Source organism: Homo sapiens, chromosome 14 (genome assembly GCF_000001405.40).
Source record: "Homo sapiens chromosome 14, GRCh38.p14 Primary Assembly".
In the NCBI taxonomy this organism is placed as follows: domain Eukaryota; kingdom Metazoa; phylum Chordata; class Mammalia; order Primates; family Hominidae; genus Homo; species Homo sapiens.
Genome location: NC_000014.9, coordinates 95,548,762 through 95,572,538, shown reverse-complemented (window position 1 = coordinate 95,572,538; position 23,777 = coordinate 95,548,762). Strand labels below are relative to the sequence as shown.

At 46.6% G+C, this 23,777-nt stretch overlaps 1 annotated feature.

Moving 5' to 3' along the window:
• Positions 14,368-14,867: an enhancer, noted in NCBI's record as "H3K4me1 hESC enhancer chr14:96024009-96024508 (GRCh37/hg19 assembly coordinates)". NCBI's record gives its function as "activates a minimal SCP1, AML or CMV promoter by ChIP-STARR-seq in primed H9 embryonic stem cells {active_cell/tissue: H9 hESC(primed)}" and the evidence as "EXISTENCE:reporter gene assay evidence [ECO:0000049][PMID:30033119]".

Here is a 23,777-nt window from a genome sequence, read left to right as displayed (position 1 = left end):
GGGCTTGGGGCTGTCTCACAGCGTGGTGATTGGATTCCCAAAGGGTATATACCAAGAGCAAACTTTTCAGGAGACTCAGCTGGCAGCGATAAAGCTTCTTATGACCTAGCCTTGGATATCATCTCTTGTATCTATTGGTCAAAGCACAAATTGGATTCAAGGAGTTAGAAGAAGAGACTTCACTTCTCGATGGGAAAGTAGCATGTGCATACAGGTAAAATAATTAATAGTGGTTATCTTTGGAGGCAAGCTAGCATCATCCAGCCTCTAGCCACTATGTACATTCTTTTCACATGCAAAATTGACTCGTGGCCTCCTAAGACATCCTGACTTTCAGTCCACCATGGCATCAGGTTCAGGCTTAAGGTCCAGGACCTCATCATAGAGATCAAGTGCAGGTGTGGATGAGGCTCTTCAGGTACAACTTCTCAAGTGCTGTTCCTCTCAATCTAAAAATATGAAAATGAAAGAGACAATTATGTCTCCCCTCATGTACCACTGCTAGTACACAATGGAGAGAGAGTAAAAGGATAAATAAAATAGCATTCCCATCTAAGGGGTATAGTGAGGAATGAGCAGTACATACCTAGGTGTTCCCAGTCCATAACAAGTCTGAAATGCAGCTGGGCACCCATCAACAGTGCCTTGACTAAAGCCCATGGGCCATGCTGGCAGCACCAATGAGAACAGCACGATAGAGGAAGGGATTATAAAACAAAGCAAAGACCAAAAAATGAGACAGGGGCTGTCTCTTGAGGAAGACCTCCCAGAAACTAACATGACATTTTGGCTCAGATCCCACTGGGTGGGACGTAGGCACATGGCCTCACATAGCTACAAGGGAGCTGAGGAATGGAGTCTCTATTCTGGACTGCCCTGTGCCTGGCAAAAACCTATTATACAAAAAGGGAAAGGAAGAATGTTGAGGGACTTCACCACAAAGAGGCTAAATAATTCACCTAAGGCTCCAGAGGCAAAAAGTGCCAGAGCTTGGTTTCGAATCCAAGCAGTCTGGCTGAAGAGTCTCCCCTCTGAGCCATTCCTTTCTGCTAGGGTTGGCAATCTATGGTCTGTGGGCCAAATTCAACACACTGAGTGTTTTTGTAAATGTTTATTTGAACACAGCCATGCCCATTTGTTTACGTATTGGCTATGGCTGTTTTTGCACTATACAAGCAAAGTTGAGGCTGGGCACAGTGGCTCACGCCTGTAATCACAGCACTTTGGGAGGCCAAGGTGGGAATAGCACTTGAGCTCAGGAGTTTGAGACCAGCCTAGACAACATAGCAAAACCCCATCTCTACTAAAAATACAAAAATTAGTCAGACGTGGTGGCACATGCCTGTAATCCCAGCTACTTGGGTGGCTGAGGCAGGAGAGTTGCTTGAACCTGGGAGGCAGAGGCTGCAGTAAGCTGAGATCACGCCACTGCACTCCAGCCTGGGTGAGAGAGTGAGACTCTGTCTCCAAAAAAACAAAGAAAAAAAGAAAAGAAAAAGAATGTTGAATAGTTGCAATAGAGAACGTATGGCCAGCAAAGCTGAAAATATTTATGCTTTTATGCTTTACAGAAAAAGCTTCCAACTCCTGTACCATATTGACTACATTAGAGGAGATAAAATATGTAAAATGATTGGCACAGTTTCTGACCCAGAACAAATACTCAAAAAATACTATTCATGTTGCTGTTATTATATAACTGATAAAATTGGCATTGGCGTTAGAATCAGCACCAGCATCAGATCAGCATCACTATCAGCGTCTCACCAGACTGCCTTTCAAAGGAGAAGCAGAAATCCCACTGCCAGGGTGAGGCTGATGGAGAGATGAGCAAATCCTCCCAGAGTCCTCAGCAAGTTATTTTCCCTTTGCCAGGTGCCAGCAGAGAGGTGAGGCTGGTGACCACTGGCTCTCAGAAGGTGAAAGCGGAAGCATCTCCTGCCAAACGCCGCCCATGTTTTGCAGGGCTGAGGACAGGCTGAAATTGCGGCTATTTTTCAATGCCTTGAATGTGTGTAGGTGAGCATAAATTAAAAAGAAAATCTGTTGACAAAATGATTCTAAAGTTCATCGGGAAGAGGAAGCTGGAAAGATAACCAAGAAAAGTTAGAAAAAAGAAATGAAGCCTGGGTGCGGTGGCTCATGCCTGTAATCCTGGCACTTTGGGAGGCCGAGGCGGGCAGATCACTTGAGGTCAGGAGTGCAAGACCAGCCTGGCCAACATGGTGAAACCCTGTCTCTACTAAAAATACAAAAATTAGTCTGGTGTGGTGGTGCCTACCTATAATCCTAGCCCTTTGGGAGGCCGAGGTGGGTGTATCACTTGAGGTCAGCCTGGCCAACATGGTGATACCCTGTCTCCACTAAAAATACAAAAATTAGCCAGGTGTGATGGCAGATGCCTGTAATCCCGGCTACCAGTTACTTGGGAGGCTGAGGCAGGAGAATGGCTTGAACACGGGAGGTTGCAGTGAGCTGAGATCGCGCCACTTCACTCCAGCCTGGGCAACATAGCAAGACTCCATCTCAAAAACAAACAATCTAACAACAACAACAACAAAAATGAAAAACATGAAAGAGGAAAGATACTCTGCCAGGATTTTTAGATTATGGTATCTCATTTAATCCTTACAGTAACTCCATCAGGGAGAGACTGTTATTAAACCCACTTTAGAGATGAGAAGGCAGAGATTCAGAGATGACAAAGAATCTCCAAGGATTATAGATTTAGGTACATCTATATCTATACATATACCTATACCTATGCCTACACCTAAATCTATGCTCACACCTGTACCTAGATAAATGGTTTGAGAATGCATTTGATTGCAGGTGTTTTTTTCAATCAGATCCTAGATCTCTGCCTTCCGCCTGATGCCTCCGGAAACGCTGGTCCCCTGGGAAATGCCATGAAAGTGGTTAGTGTGATTACCTCAGTTTGCTAAGAAAACCCATCATACTGCCAGCACACTGTGATCTCTGGCTATCAAAAATGGTTGATTTGAAGACACCTGTATTTTTTTGGAAATGTTGATATTTAACAAATAACCCCCAGCCCCCTAAATGTTGATATTTAGAAAATAATTCCCCAAACTTATTTTACACACATACAGTGAGATAGAGAGAGAGAGGAGAGAGAGAGAGAGAGAGAGAGAGAGAGAAGAGAGAGAGAAAAGTTGTTTAATGCCCAGGATCAAGAAGGCCTGCATATATTCAGCAAGAAGCTTTATCATCCCAAACCCGAGGCTGAGCCATGATTATTACATTCTAAGCCTCTTCTTCTCCCTGCTATTTATTACTAGGGCTTAGAGAATCTCAAACTGTTGGGTCAGTTATATGATCCAAATGGCAGGACTGATCAAAGACTCCTACAACCTGTATGCTAATTAAAATCTATTTCACACACCAGTGGTGATTAGAAACTGCAAGGGCTTCCAAGCCCCTCTCACATGACTAGACTTGATGAATAATTCCTGATAGTGGCTAATAGCACTTGGCCCCCACAGTCTGCATACTAGATGGGTTTCAAGTCATCTTAAAAAAAGATGCCGGGGTTTATCTCTTAGAATTTCTCTCCCCACTCCCCACTGTGACCACACAAATGGAAACACCACTCCATTGCACGTGCATTTGTACAGTGTTGATGAACTCTGTCATTAGGCCAAGGAACCCTAGGCAATAGAAAAGTGTGAAACCCACCCATAACTGGCCCAGGGAATGCCAGCTCCGAGGCCACGGTGCAGAAAGTTGGACTTTATACTCAGCTTCTGCTTCTCCCTTATCTCAACATCTCCAATTCTATCTTTTAATTATGTCTCACACCCTTTGTCTTCACCACCACAGTCATCATTACACTCAAATAACTTAAATGCATGGCAGAGTAGGAAAAGTAGAATAAGTAACATCTTAGGTATTCAATTTGCTTGATATCTCCGATGTGCTAAGTACATTATATATAAGCTCTCTTTTTATTCTTTTCACAACTCTATAGGCAGAAAGATATTATTACCACCATATTACAGATGGTGAAACTGAGCCTCAGAGATGTGAAATAACAGTTCCATGGTCCCCAGAGCTAGAATCAAAACTTAAATCTGAGTTTTCTATTCAAAGTCCAATATTTGGACTCAATCCAATAATATTTTTGAGCATCCACTGTGTGCTAAATATTCTCCCAGGTACTGGGAAAACAGCAATGAACAACAACAAAATGGCTTGTCCAACTTTCACCTCTGTATAGAATGCAGTAGGTCACAGCAGCCTGGGTTCCTGCTGTAACAATTAGGAAAAAAATGGAAAAGTTACCAAAATTATACTCTATAGACATTGAAAAGCTGTGGAATCAACAAAGGACAAGATGAGCTAACGTTCATAGAATTGAGGAAATAGAGAAACTTTACATCCAGGAGGGCCATGTTCAAAGACCAGATATAAACCAGAGGTGGGCTGAACCTACGTAAGGTCCACCCCAGCCATGATCCAGCCCAATTGCTGGGGAAAGAGGAAAACTCTCTGGTGGAAAATAGCATCATCTATAGCCTTTATGGATCTCTTACACCAAACAGTCATCACACAATTTTAAAAAAATGTGACCTTCAAAGAAGAAGAAAAAGTAACCAGAAGGAAAAATGGACAATAGAGGCAGACCCAGAGATGCCTCATATTCTGAAGTTAGTCAAGAGGGATGTTGAAGTACTGATTATGAATACATTAAAAATAGAAGAAATTATGCACAAAAGATGAAAATCGAGAATTTAAATCAAGAATTTGCAATTTATGAAAAAAGCAGCCGGGCGCCTGTAATCCCAGCACTTTGGGAGGCTGAGGCGGGCGGATCACCTGAGGTTGGGAGTTCGAGACAGCCTGACCAACATGGAGAAACCCTGTCTCTACTAAAAGTACAAAATTAGCTGGGTGCAGTGGTGCATGCCTGTAATCTTAGCTACTCGGGAGGCTGAGGCAGGAGAATTGCTTGAACCCGGGAGGCAGAGGTTGCAGTGAGCCGAGATCACGCCATTGCACTCCAGCCTGGGCAACAAGAGGGAAACTCCGTCTCAAAAAAAAAAAAAAACAAAAAAAAGAAAGAAAAAGAAAAAGAAAAAAGCAAATAGCATTCTAGACCTGAAAAACATAATATATAAAACTGAGGACTCATTAGATGGGTTTAATAGCAGAATGCACACAGCTAAATACAGAATTAATAAACTTGAAGATAGGTCAATAGAAAATATCCAAACTGAAGCATGCAGAAAACAAGAAGAGTGGAAAGAACAGAACAGAGTAAAAGAGACATGCAGGACATGAGAAAATAGCGTAACATTGTGTAACTAGAGTCCCATAAAACAGGCCAGAGATCGGGGCAGACCTAGTATCTGGAGAGATAATGGCTGAGAATTTTCCAAAACTGATGAAAGAGATCCACCTACAGGTTCACAAAGTTCTATGAGCTCCAGTGGAGCCTTGGGCTCTTGGCCCACAGCTGCCCATGTACCTATTCTTTCTCAGGTGACTGGTTTTCTAGTTGGTTCCTGCCAGCTTTGTCTTTAGATTTTAATCACTTAACAAACACCACCAAGCATTTTTTTTCTTAGACAGAGTCTTGCTCTGTCGCCCAGGCTGGAGTGCAGTGGTGTGATCTCAGCTCATGCAACCTCCACCTCCCGGGTTCAAGCAATTCTCCTACCCCAGCCTCCCTAGCAGCTGGGATTACAGGCATGTGCCACCACACCCAGCTAATTTTTGTATTTTAGTAGAGATGGGGTTTTGCCATGTTGGCCAGCCAGGCTGGTCTCAAACTCTCGACCTTGGGTGATCTGCCCGCCTCGGCCTCACAAAGTACTGGGATTACAGGTGTGAGCCACCCTGCCCGGCCCCACCAAGGCTTTTATAGGCCTGGCACTATGCTGGGTGGGGGACACGGCCAAACAGACTGGCCACTGCCCTTGGAAGCTGCCCAGCTCCTGGTGGATGGCGGTAGGCCATGCAGAGTCAGAGCTGGACTCCCAATTCGCTGGTTTCTAATCCAGTGCCCTTCTAGGGCCCATGAATGTATGTTAAGATGCGTTGGGGAACGCTCACCAAGGCACCAGGTCAGAAGTGAGAAAAACAAGGTCTTCTTTGCTGTGATCCTTATTTCTTGGACTCTCACAGCCTTGAGACAATATGAGCCAGAGTAGTGTTGGACCTGGAGCGCCCCCTCCAGTTTTGTTGCTGAAAATGCAGCCCCCATTCCATGTCCACAAGAGACAGTGTCTCCCATTCTGCTCTGGGGTCAAGGCTGATTTGGCTGCTATTAATGTCCCTGGTGTGAAACAGGTTCCTCTTACAACATGCCCAGAGTCAAAAGAGAGTGCCCTCCTTTATCCCACCCCAGGGGGTTCCAGCTCTTGCAGGGCCCTGCCTTCCTCCTTCCCCTTTCCTCTTGTGTCCAAGTCCTTTCCACTCATCCCATGTGTCCTTCCAGTTTCACCTGAAGCATAACTTCCTCCTGGAAGCTTTACTTGACCACCCCACGCCCAGGTCTCCTTTCATGGAAACAGCCTCCCTGTCCTTCAGTGCCCTTCTATCATCAATGGGATGGTCTGATTAAGGCCTGGCTCCCACTGGCTACCTGTGCACAGCAGCCATGCCCGGTTTAGCTCTCTATTGTGTGCCTGATGTCTTGCACAGTACCTGGCATCAAGTATATATTGTATATAAAAGTGCTTTGATGAATGAATGAATGGAGGGATGGATGGATGAATGAAGACACCTAGACCCATACTAGATAGGCAGGGTTGTTGAGCAAAGGTGCCAGGGAATCCCTCTTCCATATTTCCTGATACAGCAACACCAATTAAAGGCCCCGGGTTAAACAGCAGCAGTTCCTGGCCATTTAACAAACACTCCAGCACTGTGTTAGGAGCTACCATTGAGAAGGGCTTGGGGATAGAGTGGGGGCCAATGTGTTTTCTAGAAAACTTCTTACAAACAATTGATATCAATTTCTCAACAATTGTTCCCACTTAATGATGATGATGATGATGATATAAGATAATATTTATTCAGAGCTTCCAATGCACCAGGTTCTGTTCTGGACATGTTACATGCATTTTTTTTTTCTTTAAAACTCACAAATACTCCCTTAGGTATTACTCTTTTTTTTTTTTTTTTTTTTTTTTTTTTTTTTTTTTTGAGATGGAATCTTGCTCTGTTGCCCAGGCTGGAGTACAGTGGCATGATCTCGGCTCACTGCAACCTCCCCCTCCCGGGTTCAAACGATTCTCCTGCCTCAGCCTCCTAAGTAGCTGGGATTACAGATGCACACCACCACACCTGGCTAATTTTTTTTTTTTTTTTGAGACGGAGTCTCACTCTGTTGCCCAGGCTGGAGTCCAGTGGTGCGATCTTGGCTCACTGCAAGCTCCGCCTCCTGGGTTCTGCCATTCTTCTGCTTCAGCCTCCCAAGTAGCTGGGACTACAGGTGCCCGCCACCACGTCCGGCTGATTTTTTTTGTATTTTTAGTAGAGATAAGGTTTCATCATGTTAGCCAGGACGGTCTCGATCTCCTGACCTCGTGATCCGCTCACCTCGGCCTCCCAAAGTGCTGGGATTACAGGCGTGAGCCACCACACCTGGCCACACCTGGCTAATTTTTAAAAATCTTTAGTTGAGATGGGTTTTCACCATGTTGGCCAGGCTGGTCTCGAACTCCTGACCTCAAGTGATCCACCCACCTCAGCCTCCCAAAGTGCTGGGATTACAGGTGTGAACCACTGTGCTTGGCCTACTCTTTTATTTTATTTATTTATTATTATTAGAGACAAGGTCATATTATGTGGCCCAGGGTGGTCTTGAACTCCTGAGCTCAAGCAATCCACCCTCCTCAGCCTCCCAAAGTGTCAGGATTACAGATGTGAGGCATTGTGCCCAACCAGATGTTACTCTTCTCCCCTCTGACAGGTGAAAAGGCCTGTGGAGTAGAAGGGAGGGGCAGGTTTGCCCAGGGTCTCACAGTAAGAGACAAGCACCATACCAGGTACTGCCTGATCCCAAACCCACAGCGAGGGGAACCCGCGATGCTCGATCACCATGGCGGCACAGCAGTGAGCTTGGACCCTGGGGCTCAGACCGCACCCCCACATGCAGTTTTTTGTGACGCCAATAACACCATCATCACTCTGACCCCACAAACACAGCACAACCCAACAGAAGCTGGTTAGCAAGACTGTTCTCAGCAAGCCACTCCCAGCAGGGACACAGCCGCAGCTGGCTACTTTTCTCCCCAAAGGCCCTGTTCTGGGACATTGACTCATTGACTTTGCAAACTGCCAAGGAGGAAGGCAGCCAGCCAGCATCCTTGTCTTTATTTTCCCTGACACCTGGGCCTCTGAATCCCACACATTAACCAACATCTCTGAGGGTGTCTGGGCCAGGCCTTTGCAGCTGCCAGCAGATTTCCACGGGCATTTGGAAGGACTGGGAGGGTCTACCCCTACCACTCCCTGCCCATGAGATATCCCGGGCACCTTCTCAGCAAAGCTCAGCCTCACGGGTGTCCTTTCTGGGGACATGGCAGCGTGGGGAGAACTAACAGCAAGTGTGCAGCCACCGGCAGGTCTCGGCCCCATTGGGTTGGAACTAGCTCAAGGACCTTAGACAAGGCACTTCTTTTTCTAAGCTTAAGTTTTTAAAATTGGCCTGTTATTAAGAACTGAGTCACCAAATAAAAGTGATGATTTGCTGTGATTTTCTTTTTATTCGTTCACTCACTCATTCAGTATTTACTGCGTACCTTTGCTAGGCTTCACACTCAGTTTGTTACCAATAGGGATTTTTTTTTGTTGTTTGTTTGTTTGTTTTGAGATGGAGTCTTGATCTGTCGCCCAGGCTGGAGTGCAATGGCGCGATCTCAGCTCACAGCAACCTCTGCCTCTGGGTCCAAGCAATTCTTCTACCTCAGCCTCCCGAGTAGCTGGGATTATAGGCATCCACTATCTGGTTAATTTTTGTATTTTTAGTAGAGACGAGGTTTCACCATGTTGGCCAGGGTGGTCTTGAACTCCTGACCTCAGGTGATCCGCCCGCCTCGGCTTCCTAAAGTGCTGGGATTACGGGCGTGAGCCACCGTGCCCGGCCCAGTAAAGGATATTGACTGCAAGTTGTCCAGGTTCTTGGCATTTTGAGCAAAGAATTGGACAAAATGCACAGCAAAGCAGGGAAAGAATGAAGACATGAAAGCAGAGATTTATTGAAAGTGAAAGTACACTCCACAGGGTGGGAGTGACCAGAGCAGCGGCTCAAGGGCCCTGTTACAGAATCTTCTGAGGTCCAAGTACCCACCCACTGGAGGTTTCCCATTGGCCACTTGGTGTTCACCCCATGCAAATGAAGTGGCAGCCCGTGATCAGTCTGATTGTTGCAGAAAGTGCCCACAGGGCTGGGCTTGATGTGTTACGTCCTTGGTCCTCACAACAGGTATTGTGAGTGCGTCTGTACCATGACAAAGCCTGGGGCTCTGAGGCCATGTGTACTTTGCCTATGATCACTCAGCTAATAGGAGGGGTGCAGGACTCGAACCCAGGCTCGCTGCTCCTAAGCCATTCTCCTAACCATTGTGCAATGGTGCTTTCCTAGAGCTCTTACAATCCAGTAGTGTTCACAACACTCATACAGCTAAGCCTGATGTCGGGCTGGTCATACAGAGCGAGTAGGATTTCAGAGGAGAGAGGCAGCAGGTTTTATCTAGATGGACCAGGCAAGACTTGGAGGAAGACGCCACATTGAGCCTGATTTTACAGCAAAGCAAAGCTTCCACCTTCCCCCTCCACTCCTACTGCTTTGGCTATGCCAGGTCCCTCTGGGAATTTTCATTCTAGTGGAGGCGACAAGTGACCTCCCAAGGGCTGAGATAGTGAAGGGATGGGGACCCAGGAGACACACGTCAGGATAGGGAGATGTGACCTATGCTAGGGGGTCAGGCAGGCCTCCCCGGAGACAGGTGTTTTCAGCTGAGCCCCATGGGATGAGTACTTTTATCTGGATGAGAGAAGGTTCAAAGAGAGGGAATGAGCTCCCAAAGAGGACAGCATTTTTTAGACCCAAGGGATGAGAGAGCCTGGAGCCTGCAGGAGAATGAAAGCAGCTGAATGTGAGGGAGCACAGACAGCCAAAGAAGACATCACCAGAGTGGGCCCAGAGCCACAGGGCCTCAGCAGCTACTGCCGGGGTCGTCCTGAGCTTTCTGGCACAAAGGGAACCACTGCATAGTTGAATCCAGGATGAGTTACAGGTGTGTGGTTTCTTAAGCACGGGTAATGGACAGGTGGGGCTAGTTAGGAAATACGGGGTATGGTAAGGGGTTGGTGTGGAGAGAAGAAATGCAATTCAAGAGATATTTGGGGGCAGATACCAACAGGACTTGTTTGGATTGGAAGAAGGAGGCAAATGGGGTTTCCAGGTGTCTGGCTGTGGCAACCAATTTGGCAGCAGCTTTCGACAATGAACTACTTGGAAATTGCAATTTGTGTGCGGCGTGTCACATTTTCCAGCACAATATCATGTGTATTCTTAGAGTCTTCAGTCAGGTGGGAAATGAAGGTGCTATCAAAGGACCCTGACAGACAGCGCAGGGATAGCCTGTCTTGAATATGGCAGAGTCAAACCCACAAGCTCTTGGGGAGTCCTTAAACAATTGAGATTACCTTCTTTGATGACCACCCGCAGCCCAAGGGGAGGATACTTTGAATACCACCTACTCCACATCCCAACTAAGGAAAGGAAAACAAAGTTGGCTACCCCCAACTGTCTGGGATTTTTCAATTTTTGCCTTTTTCCCTCTCTCTTGTGTCTCCTATATAAATCCTACCCATGTAGAAGTCAATCTATCATTTGTTTCCCTCATAGATAAGCAAATTAATTGGCTTATTATATTACCTATGTCTTTTATTTATTCTTTGATAGGAGGCACTATTATTTTCTCCTTTTTACCGATGAGGAAACTGAGGCTCCGAGAGCTTGAGTGGTTTGTCCAAGGTAAATGGGAGCCAGGTTCTGATTCTGGTCTTCAGTGCCCAAATTCCTGCCCCTCTCTCTAGGACAGCTCGAAGCCCTATTCTGGCCTATTAAAGGGAGCATTTCCAGAGAGAAAAAAAAATGGATGTGGACACATTCGACGTTTCTGATATGATTGTGTTGTCTGGAGCCCAAACGCTCTCCCTCGGGCCCTTGAAATGATGGGAAGGATGCAAGGTCAGAAAAAATGTGGAATGTACGGGACTCGGGCTCTACCTGGGGACATAGAGAAATCTCCCTGATTTGTTTTTCACATAGAGAATTTACTTAGGGAAGGTGGAGAGTGCAGAACGCGGCTCCGCGTGGTGGCGAAGCATAAGAAGTGCACCTGCAGGCAGAAGGGAGCCAGATGGAGGCCACCTGCAATAACGGGGCTCATTCCCGGAGAAGCAGCGCCATCTGCTGGTTTCCCATGATATGACTGTGTCAGACCAGAACAAAAGCATTTAGAACAGGCCATCTCAAAGAAATGCTAGCCTGATATTTTACCTTTTGGAGTAAAATTTCAGACTATGCAAGGATTTGATCCACTTAGCATTGAAAACAAAACCAAAAGCAACCTGCTGTGGTCCGAATGTTTGTGTCTGCCCTAAATTCCTATGTTGAAATCCTAACTAACCCCAAGGGTGATGGTACTAGAAGATGGGGCCTATGGGAGGTGATCAGGTCGTAACGGTGCAATCCTCAGCAGAGGGATTAGTGCCCTTATAAAAGGGACCGCAAAGACACCCTAATCCCTGCTACCATGCAAGGACATAGGAAGAAGCCGCTAGCTATGAGGAAGTGGGTCCTCACTAAACACCAAATCAGCCGGGGCCTTGATCTTGGACTTGCCAGCCTCCTGAACTGTGAGAAATATATATATATATTTGAGACAGAGTCTTGCTCTGTTGCCCAGGCTGGAGTGCAGTGGCACAGTCATGGCCCATTGCAACCTCCACCTCCTGGGCTCAAGCAATCCCTTCACCTCAGCCTTCCAAGAAGCTGGGACTACAGGCATGCACCACCACACCCGGATAATTTTTGTATTTTTTGTAGAAACAGGTTTTCGCCATGTTGTCCAGGCTAGTCTTGAACTCCTGGCTTCAAGCAATCTGCCTGCCTCAACCTCCCAAAGTGTTGGGATTACAAGCATGAGCTACCACACCCGGCCAAAATTTCTGTTGTTTTATAGCCACCCAGCTTACAGTATTTTGTTATGGCATCCTAAACAGTCTAAGGAATGAGCTTTTGTTAATTATTCAATAAATAGTGTTAAGCCCTTAGAAAAATAAGACAGACATAGTTTCTGCCCTTTTGGAAGTTGCATTCTGGCAAAAGGTAAACATGCTGTACCATCTCTCACACACACATGTAGTTATATACATACATGCTTGTGTACATACATGCATTTGTATACAAGCTCGTTTTAGGTATTGGTAAATGTCATGAAGAAGGAAGAAGAATAAAAGATGATACTGGGCCAGGCGCGGTGGCTCACACCTGTAATCCCAGCACTTTGGGAGGCTGAGGTGGGCAGATCATGAGGTCAGGAGATCAAGAACATCCTGGCTAACATGGTGAAACCCATCTCTACTAAAAATACAAAAAAAAAAAAAAAATTAGCTGGGCGTGGTGGCAGGCGCCTGTAGTCCCAGCTACTCATGAGGCTGAGGCTGGGGAATGGAGTGAACCCGGGAGGCAGAGCTTGCAGTGAGCCGAGATCATGCCACTGCACTCCAGCCTGGGTGACAGAGTGAGACTCCGTCTCAAAAAAAAACAAAAAAAAGATGATACTGACTGGGGTTCTGGTGGAATAAGCTGGGGTTTGCTCTCCAGCCAGGACAATAGAAAAGACCTCTTTGAATTAAGATCTGAATCATGAGAAGAAGGTAGATGTGTAGGAAAGAAGAATTTCCAAAGAGAAGGAACAAGAGCAGAGGGTGGGTCCAAGCCTGACAGCGTGAGAAAGAAGCCACGGGGGCTGGGGCACAGCCAGTGCATGGCCCAGCTGAGTTCTGTAAGCAAAAGGCCTGCATCAGCAAGATTCACGTTTCCCAAGACTATCTCTTGAAAAGAATAGGTGCTTATTGTTTAATCTTTCCAGATTCTTACATAACTGGGCACTCTTTCAATTACTTTAGTTTAAATAACTACAGTCTTTCTGGGGAAGCCACATTAGCCTGAAATGACCTCAAGGTGAGCTGTTTGGCCAAACACGTTTAAACCAGATACAGCTAGTAATCCCAGCTGGAATGTTGAACGACATTGTAAATAAGCCTTTTAAAAAATATAGAATTTCGGCAGGGCGCGGTGGCTCATGCCTATAATCCCAGCACTTCGGGAGGCCCAGGCGGGCAGATCACGAGGTCAGAAGTTCGAGACCAGCCTGACCAACATGGTGAAACCCTGTCTCTACTAAAAATACAAAAATTAGCCGGGTGTGGTGGTGCATGCCTGTAATCCCAGCTACTCAGGAGGCTGAGGCAAAAGAATCACTGGAACCCAGGAGGTGGAGGTTGCAGTGAGCTGAGATAGCACCATTGCACTCTAGCCTGGGTGACAGAGCGAGACTCCGTCTCAAAAAAAAAAAAATATATATATATATATACACACACACACACGTATATATTTTTATATACACATATGTATATATTTTTATATTTATATATACATATATATTTTTATATTTATATATAATTTCAACTTTTATTTTAGATTGGGAGGGTACATGTGCAGGTTTGTTACACGGATATATTGAATGACACTGAGGTTTGAGGTAGGAATGATTCCATCACTGAGCATAGTACCTAATAGGTAGTTTTTCAGCCCTTTCCCGACTCCCTCTCCCCGCTTCTAGTAGTCTCCAGTGTCTACTGTTTCCTTGTTTACATCCATATGTACCCAATGTTTAGTTTCCATTTGTGAGGACATGTGGTATATGGTTTTCTGTTTCTGCATTAATTCACTTGGTATAATGGCCTCCAGCTGCATCCAGGTTGCTGCAAAGGACATTATCTCATTCTTTTTTATGACTGCATAGTAGTCCATGGTGTATATATACCACATTTTCTTTATCCAATCCACCTTTGATGGGCACCTAGGTTGATTCCATATCTCTGCTATCGTGAATAGTGCTGTGATGAACATACAAGTGCATGTGTCTTTTTGGTGCAATGATTTATTTTCCTTTGGATATATGCCCAGTAATGGGATTGCTAGGTGGAATGGTAGTTCTGTTTTAAATGCTCTGAGAAATCTCCAAACTGTTTTCCACAGTGGCTGAACTAATTTGCATTCCCACCAAACAATGTAAACTAATTTACATCCCCACCAATAAGGGTTTCCTTTTCTCTGCAGCCTGGCCAGTATCTGTTGTTTTTTGACTTTTTAATAATAGCCATTCTGGCTGGTGTGAGATGATACCTCATTGTGGTTTTGGTTTGCATTTCTCTGATGATTAGTGATGTTGAGCATTCTTTCATACGGTAAACAAGCCTTTTAAAGATCACTTTAAAAAGCAAATCGATGGGTAGTTACATCATAGAGACCATGGTTAAACACCTACAGAAAAAAAAATTCAGTGTCCTAATGTGCTTAAGATAAAATGCTCATGGAAGTGGTCATACATGGATTCAAAACTGCTCCAGCTCAGAAAACTTAAATAAAAGTAAAGGTAGTCTGAGTGTAGTGGTTCCTGCCTGTAATCTCAGCACTTTGGGAGGCCAAGGCGGGTGGGTCGCTGGAGCTCGGGAGCAGCCTGGGCAGCCGAGACTAGCCTGGGCAGCATGACAATACCCTGTCTCTACCAAAAATACCAAAAAATTACCCGGGCGTGGTTGTGTGCACCTGTAATCCCAGCTACTCAGGAGGCTGAGGCGGGAGGATCGCTTGAGCCTAGAAGGCGGAAGTTGCAGTGAGCAGAGATCACACCACTGCACCCCAGCCTGGGCAACACAGCAAGACCCTGTCTCAAAAAAGTCAAGGAAAGGCACTCTTGACGTTGATTCTCATGCTGTGGTGTGTGGACCAGCAGCAGTAGCGGAGACACCTGGGAGCTTGTTAGACATGCGCGGTAGGAATCTGCATTTGAATTAGATCCCTAGGTGAGTCACATGCACAATCACGTTTGAGAAGTTTGAGAAGCGCTGCTCTTGGAAACTTGTGGCAGAGCTCAAAAAGTGCTCCAGTCATGAGAGACACTGATGCTGAAAATTCCAGCAGAGCATTTTAGTAGTTGTTTCACAAGCTGAGAAGAAAAGCAACATTTGTAAATAAATGTATTACTTGATGATATATTAAATGTAGCTAAATTAATAGATTGTGGGCTCCAGCGCCAATTGCCTGGCCTTATATTTTCTAGTTCTTCCGCTTTTTCAGCTGTGTGTCCCTGGTCAAGTTACACATCTTCTCTGTTCCTCAATGCTCTCATTGGTAAAATGTTAAGCGTGTGTTAAAACACATTTAACATAGTTGGTGTACCATATATTTAATATAGTTGACTATGTCATCCACATCCATAAAGGTTTTTATATTTAAACTATCAAAACGTTTTCAAAAGTCCTCCCATTGGGAAAAAATGGGAAGCAGTGTTTTCCCTTATACTTAGAAACACAAAAAGCGGTTCCATGAGAGTTGGAGTTCAACTAGCTAGTATAAGTTCATTTCAGCTCTTAGTTCTCAGCTGGGTTCAGCCCAAGCTCCTGCTTTAAATCAGTATCTCTAGTGGCCAACTCTGCTACCATTAGTCAACACTGGGTAAAGTCTTCAAATGTAAATATTAAATAAATAGGCCCAGTGCGCTGGCTCATGCCTGTAATCCTGACACTTTGGGAGGCCGAGATGGGCGGATCACTTGAGGTCAGAAGTTTGAGACCAGCCTGGCCAACATGGGGAAACCACATCTCTACTAAAAATACAAAACTTAGCCAGGCATGGTGGCACCTGCATGTAATCCCAGCTACTCGGGAGGCTTAGGCAGGAGAATCCCTTGCACCTGGGAGACAGAGGTTGCAGTGAGCCAAGATCGCACCACTGCACTCCAGCCTCGGGGACAGAGTGAAACGGTGTCTCAAAAATAAATAAATGAAAATCCAGATGTCTTTGAAAGGCAGAGAAGAGAAGCAATTTGCTCAATGTCCTGCTACAAAACAATCCCTCCGCAGTCTCCCTACTGTGTGTTGATGAGGGTTGGGGTTACCACGTGGCACAGAGGTCAGGCGTCTTTCCGAAGGACACTGGCCAAGGGAGGAGGCTGAAGCCTAGGCAAGAAATCCCTGCTGAGAAACGCTCAGGTAGGTGGAAGAGAGGAGTTAGAAGTGTTTCTCTTAGCTTGGATCCTTAAAGGAGTAGAGATGCAGGTGTGAGCTTCTGGGGGTGGGAGTGAGGGGTCTGAGCTAGGAAATAAGTCTAACAAGTGGGCAGCAAGTCCAAGGTGAGTGAACCGTGTCTTGTAAGCCCATTTCTCTACTCTGTTCGTTTCTCCATGGTCATTCCTGAGTTAGAAAAGACTTTGCCTGCATGTTCCAGTCTTGACCAGCTATGCACCAGGCACAATGGGAAAGTTCATGGGTCCAAGAATCACGAAGTCTGCCTGGTAGTGGTAGAGGTAATTCGTAAGAAGTTACCAAGAAATGATCCCTGGGCCGGGCGCGGTGGCTCACGCCTGTAATCCAAGCACTTTCGGAGGCTGAGGCGGGCGGATCACGAGGTCAGGAGATCGAGACCATCCTGGCTAACATGGTGAAACCCCGTCTCTACTAAAAATACAAAAATTAGCCGGGCGTGGCGGCGGGCGCCTGTAGTCCCAGCTACTCCGGAGGCTGAGGCAGGAGAATGGCGTGAACCTGGGAGGCGGAGATTGCAGTGAGCCGAGATCGCGCCACCGCACTCCAGCCTGGGCGACAGAGCAAGACTCCGTCTCAAAAAAAAAAAAAAAAAAAAAAAAAAGAAATGATCCTTCGGGGGTTCCAAGCCCAGCCACCTGGAGATTCTCCCTCTGTGCTGGGGGTTCCCAAGACCACCTCAGACTTCATGATTCCGTAGAAGGATGCACAGGACTCAGAACAGCTGCTGTCTGGTTTAGTAGAGTGAAAGGATACAGATTTTTTTTTTAAGCAATGGTAAATGGTGCATAGGGTGGAGTCCAGGAGAGACCAGGCACGAGCTTCCAGATATGCTTCCCAATGGAGTCAGACAGCGTGCGTTTCTTCCAGCAGCAATGTATGATGACACACTCAAAGTGTTGACAGCCACGGAAGCTCACCCAAGAGAGAGATGTGAGACCGAGCCGTGGTATCCAAGGGTGTTGCTGGAGCGCCCATATGACTGACTTAGGCCCCAGAGTTCACTTCTGACCCTTATTTTATTTTATTTTTTGAGACAGAGTCTTGCTCCATCGCCCAGGCTGGAGTGCAGGTGTGCGATCTCAGCTCGCTGCAGCCTCTGCCTCTTGGGTTCAAGCGATTCTTGCGCTTCAGCCTCCCAAATAGCTGGGATAACAGGCAGGCTCCACCACACCCGGCTAATTTTTGTATTTTTAGTGAAGATGGGATTTCACCGTGTTGGCCAGGCTGGTCTTGAACTTCTGACCTCAAGTGATCCACCCGCCTTGGTCTCCCAAAGTGCAGGGATTCCTCAGTTTCTAGCCCCTCAGAGGTCAAACTGACCCAATGGGGCCCAGGGCCTTGGGCACACAAAAGCACTCTTTCCTAGGCAGGGTATTCCCAGGTCTGCTGGGTTATCTCCCAGAAGGAGATAAAAAGCCAGTTCTTTCTTTGAAAGGGGCAGGGTTTTGGGAACTCCCAGCTTGTTCAGTTAGCCCTTTACTGCCTACTCCCAAATGCCTCGCTCTGAGGCTCCCACTGTGACTTCATGAAGGAAGGGGGCAGACTCCTTCACAAAAGCCCACACCACTGGTTTGTGGAGGCAGGAGGAGAAAAGAGACTGGTTAGCGTGATTGATACCAAATCCAATGCCCCAGTCCCAGTGTCCCTCTGGCTGCTGAATCCTGCAGATGCTTACATCCAAGTTGAGCCCACCTGCCTGTAGATACAAATAGCCAGTCCTGTGGCTGTCCACTTCTCTTTCCAGAGCTCCCAGGCAGCCATCCTAGTGGTGAAGCTTGTTCTTGGCACAGACCTACCAAAAGAACACATACCCAGAGACAGAACCAAAAGGAAGCCCACGGCTCAGCCCAGAATGCCCCAAGCCAGTGATCTCCCACCCCTCTGTGGGTTCCTCTCAAACAGTCTTAAATCCCATTGAACTGTTCCTCAAATACTCTCCCCTGCAATGGCAAGAGAGACCCCAAGGTAGAAGCATAAACAAGCATGCAAAGTGAGGCAAGAGAGACCCCAAGGTAGAAGCATAAACAAGCATGCAAAGTGAGGCAAGAGACACCCCAGGTCACATCCTTAAGCGGGTATAGGGAGAGCAACCGTGTTTCCATGTGTAACTGGGCAGCTTAACTTCAAAATGCATTTCAAACTTTTTTCCCTTTCTCTTGGGTTTCAAGACACAATCTTGAGGGAAACTGCAAAAGCCTTTTTCCTTAGCCTCAAAATAGACTCCATGCCCCTCCCTTTCCCACCATCCATACTCTCTTTACGTTTGTCTAACTGTATGTTAGTATCTAATTGTGTGCCTTCTTAGAAGTTCCAGGGGCTGATCTTGAAACAGACCAAGTCTGGAGACCCAGTTGCAAAGTTTCAGGGATGACCTCAAGGCGGCTGATGAACAGCCCGGCCATTATGGAGATGATGTCAGCCCGAGGTCCAGGTGGACTGGGACCTGACGCAGCCACCAAAACAAGACACACAGACATTATGCTCAGCCCAAGTCTTCCATGCCTTCCTTATCAAGTTTTTCTTTTTTAAACTCTTGCCTTCCTGCTAAAAATTGAAGTGGTTAATTTGGACAGGAATTCGGCTGCCTCCCCTCTACTAGTTTGGGTAATAAATTCACTTTCTTTCTATCAGATGTCACTCTTGTTAGTTGGGCTCGGCCAGCAGTGAGCGTCCAGACCTGCTTTGTTGGGTCACACGTGCAGCACCCAGAGGGGTCTGAGTGTGAGCAACAGAGCTCTGTGTTCAGGCTCTGTCCACAATACCCCACACCCTTCCCGCAGAGGGGTCCTTACACCCAGGGTGGTGGTGCTGCCTTTCTTCAGGAGCATGGACTGGGTTAGAAGCTCATGGGCCTGGACGCAGATCCTGAACATTGGGGCAGGGAGTTCCTAGACCCTGTTACCTGTATTAGGGTCTGGGGAGGAAGAGAGCAAGGGCTCAGGTGATCACAGCCCTTGGACCCACTGACTCGCTGTCCTGCGGGCAGGGGAGCAACCAGAGAGGGCAAGGGTCCCTGAGTGCATGGGTCGAAGTGTGGTGCTGGTGTGTCTGGGGTCCTGTGGCTACTTGCAACTCAGCAACACACACACCTGCAGTGCGACATGCCTAGGGCCTGCCACACATTCAAGGTCTGGCTCAATGTAAAGGTACAGGTTCTACCAGCATAATCACTGCTGAGCACAACACATGATCTTGTGGGACCCTATCCACTTAAGACAGGGCCACAACTGTCAGCTGCACACCATCTCCTTAGGGTGTGACAGCAAAGATGACCTACTAAGGAACGTTGTCTGCTGCTGCCTGGTGGTCCCAGGCTCATTGTCCTCTAAGACTCATGCTGGCATCGCTTCTCAATAGCCCTCAGCCCCAGGAGACCCCCGCTCTGTGCCTCCCGATGCCCAGGCAGACTCTGCTGTCATGGCAGAGCTTTCTGTGCTCTCAGCCACGCCCCTCACTTGCCTACGAGGAGCCATGTCTGGCTACAGCTGTGGCCCTAACACCCGTCTATCCATTCAATAAGTAAATAGCGAGCTCCTACCTCTGTTGGGCGTGATTCTAAGCACTTGGAGTGCACCAGGGAACAAAACAGGGCCCCCTGGTCCCATGAAGCTTCCAAGGGAAATTCGAGGCACCAGCTAGCTCTAAGAATTAAGTAGGCAACTTGGTGAGCAAGAAGGTAATAGCAGCCTAAGCTAGTAGCCAGGAAGTTAGCCATGAGATATTTGGTTCCCTATAGAAACTGAGATACCATCTTAACATATGTCTGAGTTTTTTAGAAACCCGGACCCCCACCCAACAAATCACTGGCACGTGTATCTCAGATAAGGGAACTGGGGACTGAAGTCTGGACTTCATTCTTTGTTCTAAGTTTTTTCCTGAGGGGCCTGGAGGGAGCCACACCCATGAGCCTGAGATAATATTCTTTTCTACGGACCCCAAAGTTGGAAACAAAGCTTCTCTTCCTTAACCAATTGCAAATCAGAACATCTTTGAACCTACCTGTAAGCCCCACCCCTCCTTCACAATATCCCACCCTTCAAGGCCAAAACCAATGTGTAATCTCTATGTATTGATTCATGATTATGCCTGTAGCTTCCACTTTCCTGAAATGTACCCCACCTCTAAAAACCCTTACCCACAAGCCATCAGGGGAGTCAGGATTTGAGCATTTGCTTCCTGGTCCTCCCTGCATGGTGCCCTGCAAATAAATGGCTTCCTTTCTACTGCTGCGAAGCCTCAGTGTGGATATCTGGTCTTACTGTGCTGAGCAGGCAGACCCAAGTTGTGTAACAGTATGGGAGTAAGGAAACCTTTTCCAACGACCTGGTCTCAAAAAGTGAACCACCCATGCATCTTCTTTAGGAAGCTTTGGCAGGATGTGCTCCAGCAGAGCAAAGGAATAAAGCACAAAGACCAAGATGCGGGACACAGGGAACAGAAAACTCAACACAGGAAGAGCAAGGATGATGATAGACATCAGAGGGCAGCTGGAGGGTGGAGGATTCCAGGAGGGAGCTTGGCAGGGGGCAAGGGCTACTATGAGTTATCTGATGCTTCTGTTGAAAAACTTTATTGACAGGTATTTGGCAGATGCCTGTGCACTGTATAAAAATCCAATACAAAATAATCAAATAGAAAATAAACAACTAAAAAAAGGCAATTTTTAATAAATGGAGATAAAAGTTAAAAAAAGGAATACAGCATTTGCTTATTTATATATATTTATTTCACTAACATATATATTGTCAATAATAATGTAAAGACTGATGATTGCGCTAATTGTATAGGGAACAGTGAGAAGTAGGGTAGATTGATGATTATATGAGAGCATTCTTATCTATCAAAATGGCAAAGAGATTAGATAATATCTGATTTATTAGCAAAGAAATAGCAATATAAGCACATTAAAAAATATTGGCTAGGTGCAGTGGCTCACGCCTGTAATCCCAGCATTTTGGGGTCCACCCAGCAGGTGGGTGGATCTCTTGAGCCTAGGAGTTTGAGGCTAGCCTGGCAACACAGTGAGACCCCATCTCTTCTAAAAATACAAAAAATTAGCTGAGCGTAGTGGCACACACATGTATTCCCAGCTACTTGAGAGGCTGAGGTGGGAGAATCGCCTGAGCCTGGGAAGTCGAGGTTACAGTGAATCGTGATTGCACCACTGCACTCCAGCCTGGGCAACAGAGTGAGACCCTGTCTCAAAAAACAAAACAAAACAAAAAAAGAAAGGAAGAGAAAGGAAAATGAAATATGGAGGGAAACAGAAGAAACTGCTTAAGAAATGGAAATTTGTTTCCTATAGAGAGCAGGACCCATGGATCAAAAGGCAGGAGAGTGCTGTTTTTCATTATTACTGTAGTTTTTAAAGTATCATTTGACTAATTATATGCATGCATTGTTTTATTAAAAACGAGGTTAAAATTTCAAATGAATGGGATACTAAAAGCTTATACCCTATTTGACCATGTTTCTGATAACCGCAGGTAACAAAAGGACAACTGTGACCAAGGAAAAGGCTGGGGGGTGGCGGGCAGACAGAGGAAGGTGGGGGCAGCAGCAAGGGCTAGCAGAGGGACACTGCCAGGAAGTGAGAACTTGGGGCAACAGGTGGCCCTGAGTATGGGTAGAAATATCTGACCCCACCCAGGGCTGTGACCGAGGTCGGACGGAAGTGCAGGGAAAGACCAGCAGACCGCGGGAACTCGCTCGTAAAGCACTTTGTTTACTTCCTGCTGTCTGGAATTTCAGAGTGAAGTCCAGTGGGACCTCTGGCCTGGCCACCTGTCCGCACAACACACGGGGCCCAGGAGGCTTTCCCTGGCATCATTTGCAAGGAGGCATCATTTGCATTCACCTTCCATTTGTCTGACCTCAGAGGTGGGACCCTCTGCTTCCTTCACATACTTGATAGTGGATGGCCAGGGGCAACTTCCAAAATTCCTGGCCTCCCTGGCTCTTTCAACAGGCAACTGAAGCTCAAATTCAGTTCTTCTCAGGGCTGCAGGGCGAACACTCTGGACACCACAGCCAGAGCTGCACTAAGCGGCTGCACTCACTGAGCCGGCCCTCCGAAGGGTGCTACAATATGGATCTGATCACAGCTCAAATTCCACCAGGTAGTGACCTTGGACAAGTAACCTGACCCCCTCCCAGTCTCTGTGTCATCATCTGAAAGGAAGAGAGAATATCCCACATTTGCAGATCTTTGGTGAGAAACAAATTACGGATCTAAATGCTCAATAATTGTTTGACCCTTCCCCCTGTCTGCTTATACCAAGTAAGCATCCACCATAAAATCCAGGCAGCCAGGTGTATTAGTCTCCTTTTGCCGCTGTAACAAATGACAAGCTTAGTGGCTTAACACCAATTTTTAATCTTACAGGGCAGGAGGTCAGAAGTCTAAAATGACTTTCACTGGGCTAAAATCATGGCCTGTGTTCTTTCTGGAGACTCCAGGGGAGAATCCGTTTCCTTGGCTTTTCCAGCTCTAGAGACTGCCTGCGATCTTTGGCCTGTGGCCCCTTCCGCCCTCTTCAGAGTACATCACTCCAACCTCTGCTTCCCTCCTGCCCAGGACACCTGTGATTACATTAAGCCCACCCAGGTGATCCAAGACAATCTCTCTATCTCAAGATCCTGAACTTAAACACAGCTTAAACTTACCCCAGGTAACACAGTCACACATTCCAGGGATTAGGACATGGACATCCCACCACACTTTGTACGAAGTGCACCTGAACTGAAGTAACTTAGTCAGGTGTAACTGACACTGCCCCTTGCCCTCTGCTCTCCCAAGAATCATTTTAAGGAGACTTTACTAAGGAATCATGGAAAAAAGTTAAAAAACAACTTAAAGGCCAGGCGCGGTGGCTCATGCCTGTAATCCCAGGGCTTTGGGAGGCCCAGGCGGGTGGATCACGAGGTCAGGAGTTTGAGACCAGCCTAGCCAACATGGTGAAACCCCGTCTCTACTAAAAATACAAAAAATTAGCTGGGCATGGTGGCAGGTGCCTGTAATCCCAGCTACTCAGGAGGCTGAGGCAGGAGAATAGCTTGAACTCAGGAGGCAGAGGCTGCAGTGAGCCGAGACCGCGCCATTGCACTCCAGCCTGGGTAACAGAGAGAGACTCCATCTCAAAAACAAACAAAAAACAAAAGAATTTAAGAAGCCAGAATAACAGGAAGTGTGCTGCTAGTTTCCCAGGATTACAATTTACTTGTAAATGTACTGAAGAACTCTGAAGTTCTCCTTGAGATTTGAAATATTTTAATACCTATGTCAGACTCTGACAGCACCCTAACGCCCCCAAGATCAGGGCAAGGGGTGAGGGGTATCTGACACCCAGCTGAAGTCTCAGCCTCTGCCCAGCCTGGGTCTGGAGCCAGAAGAGGTC